General features: G+C 48.0%; 1 protein-coding gene and 1 non-coding gene across 4 annotated transcripts in view, besides 1 other annotated feature; both read right to left on the bottom strand.

Moving 5' to 3' along the window:
- Window positions 1,231–14,249, bottom strand: part of PPP2R1A (protein phosphatase 2 scaffold subunit Aalpha) — a 39,467-nt gene continuing 26,448 nt past the window's right edge. For all 3 annotated transcript variants that reach the window (NR_033500.2, NM_014225.6, NM_001363656.2), the window contains 7 exons: window positions 14,086–14,220; window positions 10,885–11,058; window positions 10,500–10,560; window positions 9,616–9,770; window positions 8,508–8,650; window positions 4,941–5,032; window positions 1,231–4,784 (listed from right to left, as the gene is read on the bottom strand). Coding sequence is in view for 2 of the 3 variants with exons in the window: in NM_014225.6 (NP_055040.2) it covers window positions 4,768–4,784; window positions 4,941–5,032; window positions 8,508–8,650; window positions 9,616–9,770; window positions 10,500–10,560; window positions 10,885–11,058; window positions 14,086–14,220 (777 nt within the window). In the remaining variant the exon portion in view is untranslated. The remainder of the gene's footprint in view (window positions 4,785–4,940; window positions 5,033–8,507; window positions 8,651–9,615; window positions 9,771–10,499; window positions 10,561–10,884; window positions 11,059–14,085; window positions 14,221–14,249) is intronic.
- Window positions 7,990–9,189: an enhancer, noted in NCBI's record as "BRD4-independent group 4 enhancer chr19:52724813-52726012 (GRCh37/hg19 assembly coordinates)". NCBI's record gives its function as "activates an origin of replication core promoter dependent on BRD2, P300/CBP, MED14 and CDK7 cofactors, and independent of BRD4, by STARR-seq in HCT116 cells {active_cell/tissue: HCT116}" and the evidence as "EXISTENCE:reporter gene assay evidence [ECO:0000049][PMID:35650434]".
- On the bottom strand, window positions 8,651–8,729 carry MIR6801 (microRNA 6801). Its single transcript, NR_106859.1, has one exon. It is a non-coding gene; the product is annotated as a microRNA 6801 (primary transcript).

Below are 14,249 nucleotides of genomic sequence, written 5' to 3'. Positions count from 1 at the left end.
GACACTTATTATTTCCCTTTTCATATGAAGATCTCTGGACCAAGCCTCCATGATAGGGCTGATCTGGAGACCACTGCGGATGCTGTGAAAGCCTCTGATCACATAGGAGAGTAAGCTCTGGCCTCAGAAAGCAGGATCCTATCCAAGAGAGCTCCATGCTCCTGGAGGTGAGATTCTGTATGCTCCTTCAGTAGAAGGCCACAGACTGAATAATCAATTGAGAATCGCATATCTTTTAGTTTCCCAAAAAAGAAAAATTTTTAAAGTATTTTTATCCATGTTAAGAGTAACAGCTACTCAGGAGGCTGAGGCAGGAGAATCGCTTCAACCCAGGAGGTGGAGGTTACAGTGAGTGGAGATTGCACCACTGCCCTCCAGCCTGGGCAACAGAGCGAGACTCCATCTCAAAAAGTAAACAAAAATGGCTGGGTGCGGTGGCTCACCCCTGTAATCCCAGCATTTTGGGAGGCTGAGGCGGGCGGATGATCTGAGGTCGGGAGTTTGAGACCAGCATGACCAACACGGAGAAACCCCGTCTCTACTAAAAATAGAAAATTAGGCGGGCGTGGTGGCGCATGCCTGTAATCCCAGCTACTTGTGAGGCTGAGGCAGGAGAATCGCTTGAACCTGGGAGGTGGAGTGCCAGTGCACTCCAGCCTGGGCAACAAGAGCAAAACTCCGTCTCAAAAAATAAAATAAAATAAAAGCTTAGTATCTGTACAAAATATACGAAAAAAGAGGAGTAACAGCAAAGGAACACAGACCTGAATTAACTCAACAGTATTCATGAATAATAAACATCTGCCATTTGCCTAGAGAGTGAGATTGGAGTTCTAGCCCCTCATTCTTATTTTCAGCATCAGGGAAGGCCCATTCTCCCTACTGCTCTAGAATATGCACAGGGTACAGGAACAGCAGGGTGGGGACTGAGCCTAAGCCCAAGCTAAGGGGTGGGTGGAAGCAGATTCCCGCTACTCAGCTTCTGTCAGGAAAGGCATGTGCTCTTGGGGACAGAGAGCAGTGATTCCCCATGAAGAGTTGGGGCCTCAGGTTTCCCTTCCCTCCTCCGAAGTCTGGGAAGGACCCAATCAGCCAACCCAAACTTCGAGCTACTAGTCTCTTACCCTTCCTGGAGGCCGACTGGGAAAAATCCAGCCCTACAAAGCCTGTAACCCCCCACCACCTTGCAGCTCTGTATGGCAAGACATCGAGAGAGCGGGGAAGGCCTGCTGGAGTCAAGGCCTGGCACTAAATCTTTATTGGATTTTCTCTTTTTGACAAGTTCCTGAATTATTATTTTTTTTCATATGGGGTCTTGCTCTGTCACCCTGGCTGGAGTGCAATGGCCCAATCTAGGCTCACTGCAACCTCTGCCTCCCAGGTTCAAGCAATCCTCCCGCCTCAGCCTCCTGAGTAGCTGGGATTACAGGCGCCCTCCACCACGCCCAGCTAATTTTTTCATATTTTTAGTAAAGACAGGGTTTCACTGAATTGGTCAGGATGGTCTCGAACTCCCGGCCTCAGGTGATCCGCCCACCTCGGCCTCCCAAAGCGCTGGGATTACAGGTGCGAGCCACTGTGCCCACACCAATTTTTTTAAATTTATGCCTCATGCCACCAGCTTGGGTAGATGAACCTGGCCTCCTTCCCTCCAGCCCTGATGGCCACAGGCAGAATCTTGTCGGTGCCCTGCAGTTCACTCCTCGGGGCTGAGGCACCACCTCGTCATCTTCATCTGCCCGGGGGAGCCATGGTAATTCTCCTCTAGCGACAACCACAGCTCAAGCACCATAGGCAGATTCTGCACCCTGAGTCAAGGGCATGGTGATTCTAGAGCTCTACTCGTGCCCCTATGCATTAGCCAAAGGCAACAAGTGACTCGACCTCATCCACATCCAGATGTCTGGGTCAATGCAGTGGAAGGAAGGGGTCAGTGAAGAGGCTGTTGGCAAAAACAGCCAAAGAAGTGCAGTCATCACAAAAGGAGACAAAATTTGTGTGTGGGCTCTGAAGAACAGTGCTGTGGAAGGAACCATTAGAGATGGCCAGTGTGACTGCTGGGATTTAGGCCTAGAGAGCGGGAGAAACAGGCCAGGGTCATGAGTCCTGGCTCCACACAGTCTCTCCACCCTGACCCAGCTCCAGCATCAAACTTCAGCTGCTACAGAGAAGGCCAGGTGTATGGAGCAAACAAAGCCTGCAGCCTGGGAGATTAGGAACCACTCCTAACAATGGACTTAATAACATCACATTCATCACCTGATTGGATTCTTCCAACATGAAGCTCACAGAAGGTGAGTTACCTCAGTCCGTTCTCCTGAGAGCACTCCCTCAGTAACACACTTGAACGAGTCTCCACTCGGGCTCTGCTTCTAGAGCACATGACCCAAGACACCAGGCAACTCCTGGTTAACTCAGGACTCTGCCAGCGTTCAATAACTCAAGCTATCCTTCACCCTCGTCTCTCATACTCACTCCTGTGGTCGCTGAGTATCACCTCATTACCCAGCACATCCTGGGTATCCATCGCACCTCCACCTCCTGTAATAATCCCATTCCATCACTTGCCCAATCTAGCAGCCTCAACATATCCCTGAGCCTTGTCTACATACACATGTCCAATTGTAGACCCCACCTCTGAGCCATAGCACATCCTCAGCCCTAGACCCACGTAGCATTAACCTCACTCTCAAGAGAGAAAAACTGGGTTAGTATTTAAGGCAGGACTTCTCTAACTTCAGTGTGCAGATGAACCTGGGCATCTTGTTAAAATGAAGGCTCTGCCTGAGCAGGTCGGGGCAGGGACGAGAGGCTCTGCATTTCTAACAAGCTCCTGAGAATGCAAAGGCTGCTGGTCCACTGCACTCTTGTTACAATGGACCAGCAGCGTTAACCATGGGGAAAGTCAAAGTTTAATGTCAGACTTTGACGTTTGGTTACACGTGTGTTCACATTTCTAGAGCAGTAGTTCTCAACTGGGAGAGAGTTTATCGCCCAGGGCATAAATGGAAATTTCTAAAGATGCTTTTTGGTCTCCTTCAGCCTCATCCCCTAGGGCACAATAAAGTCTAACAAAGGGTAGGGATGTGGTAATATGAAGGCTGAGCTGGTGAAATCACCTTGTCACTCAAAGCCACATTTCCCTTCCACCACCTGGGTCAAAATGTGCTCAAGCATCATTTCCTCTGTGAAACCCTTCCATGCAGACACCACCAGCCATACGTCCCTTGCTCCTTTCTCCAGGGTGCTCTGGGCCCCTCCCTCCATCAGTTAGAATTCCGGTCACCTTCAAGTGATGAAACCCTAAACGAACAGGCACTTGACCAGTTTAATTCTCCCAGGTGACAGTACTGGCATGGCTCTTCACAGCCTCGGGGAGGCAGGCTCCTTCTCTCTTGTCCTGCCTTACTTGACCTTCACGCCTAAGATCATTTTCTGGCCCCAGGTGGCAGCTCCTACTCCAGCCATCTGGTCCACATTCCAGAGTGCAGGAAGGAGGAAAGGTGGGGGATGACGCCTTCCCCCTTAAGAACACTTCCTAGAAGCTGCATATACCACTTCTGTTCAACATCTTTTTGGCTAGAATTTGGTCACAATACCACACCTAATTTCAAGAGACACTAGGAAAATACCTTGAATCCATGTAGTCATCTGCCCAGTTAAAAATCAGAGCTTCTACATTAGGAAGGGGAGAATAGATACCGAGATAACTGATCTATCTTGCCACAGTTCTCTCCCTAGTACCGTCCTGATTACTCTGAGACCTCCTGGGGACAGGGTCCAAGCCCAAGTCTTCTTCAAGAACACAGGAAATGGCCCACAGGGGGTTCTCTGGCAATGTACAGCTAACTCTGCTTCTCATGTTGTGTACTTCTCATGTTGAAACTGTTACACACTTTCCAGGTACTAATTCACTTGGTCCTCGCCACCCACCCTGCAATCTAGGTATTACTGTAACTCTCATTTTACACAATACAAAACTGAGCTCATAAAGACTTAACAAGCTACTCCTAGTCACACGTCTATTAACTGAAGGAGCCACAATTTGGACCCAGGCAGTCTGGTTCCAAGGCACCTGCTCTTAACCCCCCAAATACTCGGCCGACATCTATGAATCTGAACTGCACTACAGGACACCACCCAGAGCACCTCATGGACCCTCTACCCCAAAGGCCAGCAGCACTCCTGGGGGGATCCCCAGAGTATTCTTTCGGGACATAGGGGTATAATGGGTCCTGTAACAAGATCTTCTCCAGAGAAAAGCGCAGATGTTGTGGCTCTGGGGTGGTGCCCCCTCCTCCAAGCTGATGACTAAGGCCAGAGGACCAACTACTTCTAGACCTTTATTTCTCTGTGAAAAGGGGGAAAATAAAAGGAATAAAATAAAAACGGCACAGTTGACACACAAAAAAAAACCAATGATGGGGAGGACGGGAGGTGGAGAAGTAAATGGGGGAGGGGTTCCCATTACAGCAGCAGGATCCAGTGACCCGGGATGCTCACATCTCTCCCTGACGTGGGCGGAGTAGCCCCTTCCTCCCAAGGTCACTGTCCTGTCCAACCCCGTGCTCCCCTAGCCCGTTGGGAGGTGGACAGTGAGACATCTTCCCAGGCTGGGGAGAGGAGGAACCGTGCTGGGGGAAGGGGCCTGGGGTCAGACCATGCACAGGGAGTGACAGCCAAAGGCCCCCCAGTGTCTCCCCAAAGAGGGACTTGTGGGGGTTGGAGGGTGGACACCAGAGGCCAGTGTTTGCTCCTCTTCCAGCATCAGGCGAGAGACAGAACTAGGAAAACAGGAACAGGCAAGAATCAGAACCAGAGCCCTCTCTCTGCCCACAATGCCAAGGTACCTCCCCCTCCCAGAAGCTGCTGCCCACAGGCCCAGTGCCTGTCCTCAAAGTCCACCCTCCTGCTAGGGCTCCGTGCTTTCTAGGTCTTACCAGTCAGAGCCTCCTGGGCAAAGTATTTGACGTCCACATCCTGGTCCTGGGTCAGCTTCTCTAGGATGGGCTTGACTTCACTCTGCAAGGTGCTGGAAAGCGAAAGGAGACAGGGAGAGAGAGGGTGAGCCAGGATGGACTGGGGCAACAGGTGGGCACAGGGCTCTTGGGCAAGAGAGTGTACACAGACACGGATACACCAAACCCAAGGTGGGAGGAGTCTCAAGAATCCAGGGCACACACAGGAATTAGAAATCTCTGATCACTGCACAGGCGGGTGACCATAGTTAATAATAACATTTTGCATATTTCAAAACAGCTATAAGAGAAGATTTTGAATGTTCTCATCACAAAGAAACAGTAAACATTTAAGGTGATAGATATGCTAATTATCCTAATTTGATCATTACACATTTGCACACATTATTGAAACACTACTATACCCCCATAAATATATAAAATTATGAGTCAATTAAAAGTAAAATCAGGCCGGACGTGGTGGCTCACATCTGTAATCCCAGCATTTTGGGAGGCCAAGGTGGGTGGATCATCTGAGGTTGGGAGTTTGAGACCAGCCTGGCCAAACCAACATGGAGAAACCCTGTCCCTACTAAAAACACAAAATTAGCAGGGCGTGGTGGTGCACGCCTGTGATCCCAGCTACTTGGGAGGCTGAGGCAGGAGAATTGCTGGAACCTGGGAGGCGGAGGTTGTGGTGAGCCAAGATTGCATCATTGCACTCCAGCCTGGGCAACAAGAGCGAAACTCCGTCTCAAAAAAAAAAAAAAAAAAAAAAAGGTAAACTCAAGGCCGAGCACGGGGGCTCAAGCCTGTAATCCTAGCACTTTGGGACGCCAAGGTGGGCAGACCACTTGAGGCCAGGAGTTCAAGACCAGCCTGGACAACATGGGAAAACCCCCATCTCTACTCAAAGTACAAAAATTAGCCAAGCATGGTGGTGCACACTTGTAATCCCAGCTACTTGAAAGGCTGAGGCACAAGAACTGCCTGAACCCAGGAGGCAGAGGTTGCAGTGAGCCGAGATCGCACCACTGTACTCCAGTCTGGGCGACAGAGCGAGATTCTGCCTCAAAGGAAAACCAAACAAACTGCAAAAAACCAACCAACCAACCAATTACTTAAAGGTCAGAAGTATGATAAACAAGGACTGGGGCCCCAAACAGGGAGATCAGAGCAGGCTGGGAAAGTGGAACAGAATCTCAGAACCCCCAAGTCTCTGAGGCCCAGCAAATGGGTATCTTTCATTGATTTCACACATATTCACTGAGGCCTACAATGTATTAGGAGTGAATACAGAGCTAAATCACTCTTGATTTCTGCCATGAGGCACCCGGGCCAGGAGGAAGAGACCAAACTGGTACGTAAGAGGGGAGTGGTAAGTGGCCCCAAGGGGAAGTTCCTGGTCCTCCAGGAGCCCAGAGGAGGCATCCACTCTCATCTATGGGGCCCAGGGAAATCCGCCTGCACCAAGAGTCAATTGTTTTGGAAAACGGAGGGGGACTTCGGAGAGAAACTAAAGCTGAGGTTGTGTCCTGGAACAGACAGAAAGAGAAATCTGCAGTTGTGGGTCCCACACTTTCAGTTGACAGTTCCCTGTTCTCCCCAAATAACCACTATTCTTACTTCCATCATCTCGATTCCTTCATTCTGCCTGTTTCTGAACTTGACATAAATGGTGTGTTTTCTTGATTTTGGCTCCTCACTCAACATGGTATCTGTGAGAGTCACCTGTTGCTGCTTATAGCAGGCATTTGTTTCGTCACTGCTGAATAGTTTTCCACTGTTTGAATGAACTAAAATTTATCTACTCTACTGTGGACAGACATGGAGGTTGTTTCCATTTTTACGGCTACTATGAATAAAGCTACCATGAACATTCTTCTGACAGAAACAGCACTCATTTCTCCTGGATAGAGACCCAGGAGTGGAAGGGCTGTTTCACAGGCTGTTTGTATAACAAGCTTCACCAAATTCCACTCCAGATCCACTCCCGTTTTCAGAGTGATCAAACCCTAAATGTACAGCCCCACGTGCAATGGATGAGAGTTCCAGCTCTTCTATGTCTTCACCATTTGCACCACTGAGTCTTTTTTAATGTTGGCTGTTCTGGGAGGCGTGTAGTCATATGTCACTGAGATTTAATTTGCATTTTCCTGAAGGCTAATGATGCTGAACACCCTTGTCATATGCTTACTGGCTATTTGGAGATCCTTTTTCAAGTGCCTATTCAAGTCTTTTTCCCCATCTCTTTCTTGTCTTGCCTGATTTGTAGACAGGTATTGTGGATGAGTCCTTTCTCAGAAACATATATTAAAACATCTTCCTCCAGTCAGTGGCTTGCATTTTACTCTCAAAATGCTGTCTTTTGAGAAACAGCGTTACATTTTACAGAAGGTCAACTTACCCATCACTTCCTCTGGTTTGCTGTTTAACAAATCTGTGCCTACGCTAACTCAAGAAGATATTTTCCTACATTTTCTTCTAGGTCCTTTATTTTTAAAATCTTTCTGGTTCTGGTCTGTCATCTCAAATTAATTTGTTTATGCATTGAGGCGAGCCTTCTTTTATTCCTAAATGGATATCAAATTGACTCAGCTATGTTTTTTAAAAAACATACATTTCTCCACTGAACTGCAGAGATGCCTACTGTTAAACACATGTGGGACTGTTTCTGTACCCTTGATTCCATTCTATTGGGCGATTTAAATATGCTTGTGTTCACATCTATTTTAATTATTGTGGTGTCATAAGTCTTCGTCTCTGGTAGTGTAAATCAGACAACTTTGTTCATTAGAAGTGTCAATTTTCCACTAAAGAACCTGTTAAGATTATTGGGCTTATACTGAATCTAAAGATGAGTTCAGGGAACTGTCCCATCCGTGAATATTATGTAGGTCTGCTTTAATTTTTTTTGAGACAGTCTCGCTCTATCGCCCAGGCTGGAGTGCAGTGGCATGATCTCAGCTCACTGCAACCTCCACCTCCTGGATTCAAGCAATTCTCTTGCCTTCAGCCTCCCAAATAGCTAGGATTACAGGTGAGTGCTACCGCACCGGCTAATTTTTTGTATTTTTACTAGAGACGGGGTTTCGCCATGTTGGCCAGGCTGGTCGTGAACTCCTGACCTCAACTGATCCGCCCACCTTGGTCAGGTCTGCTTTAATTTCTCACATTAGTGTTTTACAGTTTACATTAGAGGTGTTACATACACATCTTTCATTGAATTTATTCCTGGCTATTTGATATTTTTGGTGCAATTATAAATTATACACATACTTACATATAAAACATAAGGTGATTTCATTTTCTAATGACTTGTTGCTAGTATACAGGACTGCCAACCCATCACCCCCTCTTTCTATTTCATGCTGTGATGTTCATTTTACAGTTGAGAAAACACACCTTGAGAAGGGAAGGGAGCCAAGGTCACACAGCAAGCAAGGAGCGCTGCCAGGCCTCTGACCCTGGGCTCTACCTTCAAAGGTCAAAGATTAAGGTGCCCACAAGAAGCCCCTGCCAGTGTGTGGGGGAGTATCCAGACCTCACCTGTTGTCCAGGATGGGCCCTATCTTCTGCAGAGACTTGGCCACATTGAAGCGGACATTGGCAACCGGGTCCCCAGCCATGCGCAGAACCGTGGGTAGCATGTGCTTGGTGGTGATGTCCTGCCCACAGACCTCAGACAGCACCTGGGGGCCAGTGAGTGGCAGGGGTGAGTATGCAAAGCTCCTGGCTAACTCTCATTTCCTGCTGCCTCTGACCAGGCCACTCTGGTGATCATCAGGCCCCACAGAGGCTGAGCAATACGGGTGACTCAGTTAGTGGAGTGAATCTCCCAACTCCACTAACACCATCCTAACACCATGTCCCAGTTTCTCTGTCCTCAGGCTTCCCTTAATTATTCTGGAGATCGACCTTAATTACCAAGCCCTAGGATCCCTCCTTAAAGCAATGCTCTCCAGAGAGTGGCGTGGGAAGAAATGATCAGAACACTTAGTTATATTTATTTTTAAATCCCTTCCTTTCTAGCCCTGTGTATGGTTTACACATAAATAAGTAGTACATGAGATAATTATAATCGTAGGAAAAGCAAATAGACAGGAGCACTTCCTACCTGTAGCATAACTGTTCTAAGCCCTGTGCGTGTATAACCTGATTAATCTTCACGCTCACCAGGCTGTGATTACCAGTATGAATTCTTTACAGTATGAATTATTTACAAATGAGAAGACCAAAGCATCGGTTAGGTAACTATCCAAGGTCCATAGCTAATATATGGCAGTACCAGAATTTAAAACTAGGTCTGACCTAGAGCCCATACACTCACCCAACGCACCACAGATAGAGACACACATTTCTCAGGGAAGGAGAGGGGTGCTCATAAAGCTTGAGATCGCTGCTCCAACAGGTCAAGTCTCCCAGGCCCTGGGTCCCTCACCATCCAAGTCCCCAGTCCCAGAGGCCCTATGACCCTGACCCTGGGAGCCCCACCCCCTTGCCTGCAGTTCCCCAAGGACTCATCTCTGGATAGAAGATGCACTCCATGTCTCCATTCCCAAGCCAGGTGTCTCCCTTGGGGAACCCTCTAGCATCCCTCCTCTCCCACGCGCTCCAGTTCCCTAGGGATGGGCCAGCAGGCAGGTGGAAGGCTCACATTGATGCAGAAGAGCGTAGTCATGCGGTGCAGGTAGTTGGGGTCTCCGGACATGGCCAAGACCTTGGGGATGATTGTGGCATGGGCCCACTCCTTCCCAAACTTTTCCACTAGCTTCTTCAGGTTGCTGGTGGCTGCCTCGCGGATGGCATATACTGCAGAAGGGTGAGGGTGAGAGAGACAGGGATTTGGAGGTGAAGAACTGATGTGGGCAAAATGTAGGTCACACTCACCATGGCTTACAAAGCAGCCCCTAGGTGCCAGGCTGCATGTGAGCCAAAGAGAGAAAAAAGGACTTACTATGTGCTATATCTAGTAACTGTTTTTTTTTATACAGTATCTTTTCAACCACTCCAAGAGGTAGGTTCCACTACTGGCTTCATTTTACAGATGGGCAAACTAAGGCTCTAAGAAGTGATTTGCCTAAATTATGTGGCACTTATTACTTCAAACAGGGCTTCACAGAGATAAATATTACCTTTTATTTTTTACCTCTCTTAGTGTAAACAATGAGCCATTCTCATAATGGCCCCAAGGCACCAGAATAAGAAGTTTCAAAGAATGAGTGTGGGGCTCATTCAAAGACAGCAGGTGACTTGTTTTAGATCTGACAGCCCCAAGGGCAGGATTCAAAACCCTGGTCTGGCTGCTCAGTGGCCCTCTGGCTCTCCACTATACCAGGCAACCCCTGGGTGATCTGTTTCGTCCTCCTCCCACTCAACACTTCTCTAGGACTCTAACAAGCATGCGAGCTGGTCCATACGAGCATCCAGCGGCGTGGGGAGTGACTCTAGCCTCCTCCACTGCCCGCCACAGCCCCAGCCAATCCATCCTGCCTTTCTGGAGCTCCCATCTCCTCTTGCTGCTCCTGTGAAGGTACTCACCATGATCCACAAGCCAGGCCATGCACAAGGAGTTAAGTTTCTCATCAAAGAACTCCACTCCCTACAGGAGAAACCAAGGGTTCCAAGGTAAGCGTTCCAGGAGAGCAAACAGGGGGAGCTGCTAGCCACATCCCATGGAACCTACACCCACCCTAGAAAGACCGGACACTTCTCAACTTTGTCTGAGGTGCTCCTTTCCCTCCTCTCTCTTATTGAATCCAATGCATCTTTTAAGGCCCTATTTCCTGGGTCCCTTCCTTCGACTCCCCAGGCAGTTGTCACAGCCTCCACTAAGCCTTCAAAGCCCCGTTTCCCCATCACAGCCCTGGACATACTGCACCTCCCCTGAGGCAGCACTGCCTGGCCCCCAGGCCTCCTCACTCACCAGCTGTCCAGCCAGGAGGGGCATGTACTCAATGATGGCCAGCCGCACCCGCCACTTGGCGTCCTCAGCCAGCTCCACAATGGCAGGGAGCAGGGACTGGGACAGCTGCCGGATGCCAATCACCTCGTTCACACAGTCCAGGTTAGAGATGATGTTCAGCCGTACCTCAGGGCACTGAGGAGAGGAAAGAAGGATTCTGAGAGAATGCAATGCACACAGCAACCCAGGACAGGATGGAAAGAGCTCAGCTGCATCAACTTTTATGGACATCTCCCGAGGGACTACTCCTGTCCAAGCCCAGCTCCCCGTTCTGGGAACACATTAACGGCACACAAAAAGCAAGCAGCATGGATCACTAACTTAAGCAGATTTTTAAACCTTACAATAGTATCACAAGAAATGTTTATCCATTTTGAAAAGACTTTAAGAATCACAGTAGGAAAATACAGCACCCTGGAAAAAACAGGCAGACATGATTCTTCTAATCCTAGCTCCGCTGCTTGCTAACAAGGGTTCCTTTCTGGGTATCAATCCACAACATGGGAGAAGGGAAGGAAGAAAACTATTTCCTTATTAAAACTATTTTAGTCTAAAAAAATAAATAAATAAAGGAGCACTGAAATGAATCAATAACCAAGTGAACAAGCCTGGCAGGCTTGGGCTGTTGAAACCCTGCACATTCCGAGGATAGGACTGGCCCTTGCCCAGCTCCAGCCCTTGCTGTGTGAGCCTCAAGCTGCTGAACATGTGCATGAGAAGAGAAGGCTCAGAGACTATACCTCACCCATTTAAAAAGACTTATTTTTGGTGCACCAGTAAAAAGGTAGCCTTTTTCATTTAGACAAGTTTATAAATTCTGGTGAGAGTCAAAATGTAAAATATAAAGTTTATAAATCTAAAATGGAAATCTCAAATATAAGTCAGATGAATTCCTCACACCAAGAAAACCATGCTGGTTCTTTTCTTCTAAGAGAAGCTGCCCTGAGACAGGCTGGCTGCCAGCACACGATTACCATATAGCGCTTGCTGAAGGTGAAACTGGAGCAAAAAATGCTCCAGTCCTAGCGCACTTGCAGCACGTATGGGCTTGCCTTCAAACTGGGCTGAGCCTGGATCCTTCCCTCATGCCAGAGGCAAAATGATCCCCAAAACGCTGGAGAGGTGTGAAATGACATAGCAGACAACTTGAGGGGCTCTCACCTGCCAAATTATGCCCATTAAAGCATCAAAAACAAATATAAATTGTATTAATATCTATAAAATTATAAAAACTATGTGCATGTGAAGCATAACTCAGATAAATTACTTAAGTCATAAAATTTGTCATGAACACTAATGAAGATTCAGACTTTTAGCAACTGACGTAATTAACTGATTAAAACCAGTACAGTTAATCACCCACTAATAGGGAAAAACAAAAAGAACAAAAAAATATTAAAAATAGCGCACTCTTTTCAATGTATTAAAAAATTCACTGTAATTCTGGGGCTAAGAGATTACTCCACTGTAACAGAATTGAATAACGTAACTTTTAGGGGCATGGAGGACTGAAATGTGATGCAGTACTTTCTGTTACAGTATTTCCTCCAACTTTCTAGCAGACTGTGTGGGCGCCTGTGTATAAAAAAGAAAGAAGGGGATGGGGAAGAAAGACTGAGGCTTTTGGGAAGCCTCACACACTTCCCATCTTTTGGGAAAGATGTCACACACCAGCACACAATTGCACCATCTGCCCAGTTTTTCACCACCAAGGCAAAAACCACCACGTGGTCCCTTCTGCCTCCTGAACAATCTTGAATCCTTCCGTATCAATGCAGCCTCATCTCTACATACCACTTAGTCTAGCCTCAGCCTTCCAGACTCCCACAGCCTCCGGTTTGGTCTGCCTACACTGCTGCTGGCCACCTCACTTCAATCCTTCCTTCACATAAGCCTCAGGGTGCCTTCTAACACCAACTCTATTCTGGCTCTTCCGCTTGCCCACAGTCAAGTCCAAACTCCTTCCCCAGTGGTCACCCTGATGATCTCTCCAGTCATCACCCAGCACCGCCTCTCATCCTTTGTAATACAGGCAACCTGAACTGCTGGGTGTGGTCACGTGACCCTCCTGGCCAATGGGTGTATGGGGTGCAAGCACATGTGAGGAATCTCGTCCTAGACTGTTATGAGAGAGAGAAAAAAAATCCACCACCGAATTTAAGCCAGAATGTATTCTGGGGTCTATATTAGAGCACCTTAGCCTAAACCCTAAAAAACATGAACTCATCCTTAACAGCACCTGTAACACCTTAATGGCATCATGGGACTGCCTGTCTCTCTCCACTGCCAGTCTCTGAAGGCTTTTGGGGATCAAAACTCTTATTCTAGGCTGGGGGCAGCGGCTCACGCCTATAATCCCAGGCCTTTGGAGGCCAAGGCAAAAGGACTGCTTGAGATCAGGAGTTCAAGACCAACCTGGGCAACATAATATCTTGTCTCTATGGAAAATGTTTTTTAAAATTATCTAGATGTGGTGGCTCTTGCCTGTAGTCCCAGCTACTTGGGAGGCTAAGGTGGGAGGATCACTTGAGCCTGGAAGGTGGAGGCTGCAGTAGACCATGATCACATCACTGCACTGCAGTGTGGGCAATAGAGCAAGACCCTATCTCAAAACATAAATAAATAATTTTTTTTTTGAGACAGAGTCTTGCTCTGTTGTCCAGGCTGGAGTGCAGTGGTGCAATCTTGGCTCATTGCAACCTCTGCCTCCTGAGTTCAAGTGATACTCCTGCCTTAGCTGCCCGAGTAGCTGAGATTACAGGCACTCGCCACCATGCCTGGCTAATTTTTGCATTTTTAGCAGACACGAGGTTTCATCATGTTGGCCAGGCTGGTCTCGAACTCCTGACCTCAGGTGATCCACCCGCCTCAGCCTCCCAAAGTGCTGGGATTACAGGCGTGAGCCACCGCGCCTGGCCATAAATAAAAACTTTAAATTTCTATTTTTCATATCCTCCATGTCCAGGAAAGGCCTCATGAAGAGTGCCTGGAGGAATGAACGCATGAACACACAGCTATGCCCACAAACATGCAACTCAGCAAAGATCTGGATGTCTGTTGAGATATCAGCAGATTCCTGGTCAATCTAGGTAAACCCTAGCAATCTAGGAAGACCCGCCTGTCCCCTCCACAAACCCAGAGCTGAGATCCTGGTGCCCTTACCTCATCCTTCAGCTGAGCCAGGAAGAGGGGCAAGAGGTGCTCGATGGTGTTGTCTTTGCCCAAGATGGGAGAGAGACCCATGATGACTGAGGCCAGGGCAGACTTGACATGTTGGTTGGCATCGGACACCAGCTCCTGGGAGAGAGAAGAGGCAGGCACAGGGG

This window comes from Homo sapiens, chromosome 19, assembly GCF_000001405.40.
Source record: "Homo sapiens chromosome 19, GRCh38.p14 Primary Assembly".
NCBI lineage: Eukaryota > Metazoa > Chordata > Mammalia > Primates > Hominidae > Homo > Homo sapiens.
Note: the sequence above shows the minus strand (reverse complement) of the source record. Positions and strands in the feature narration are given on the sequence as shown.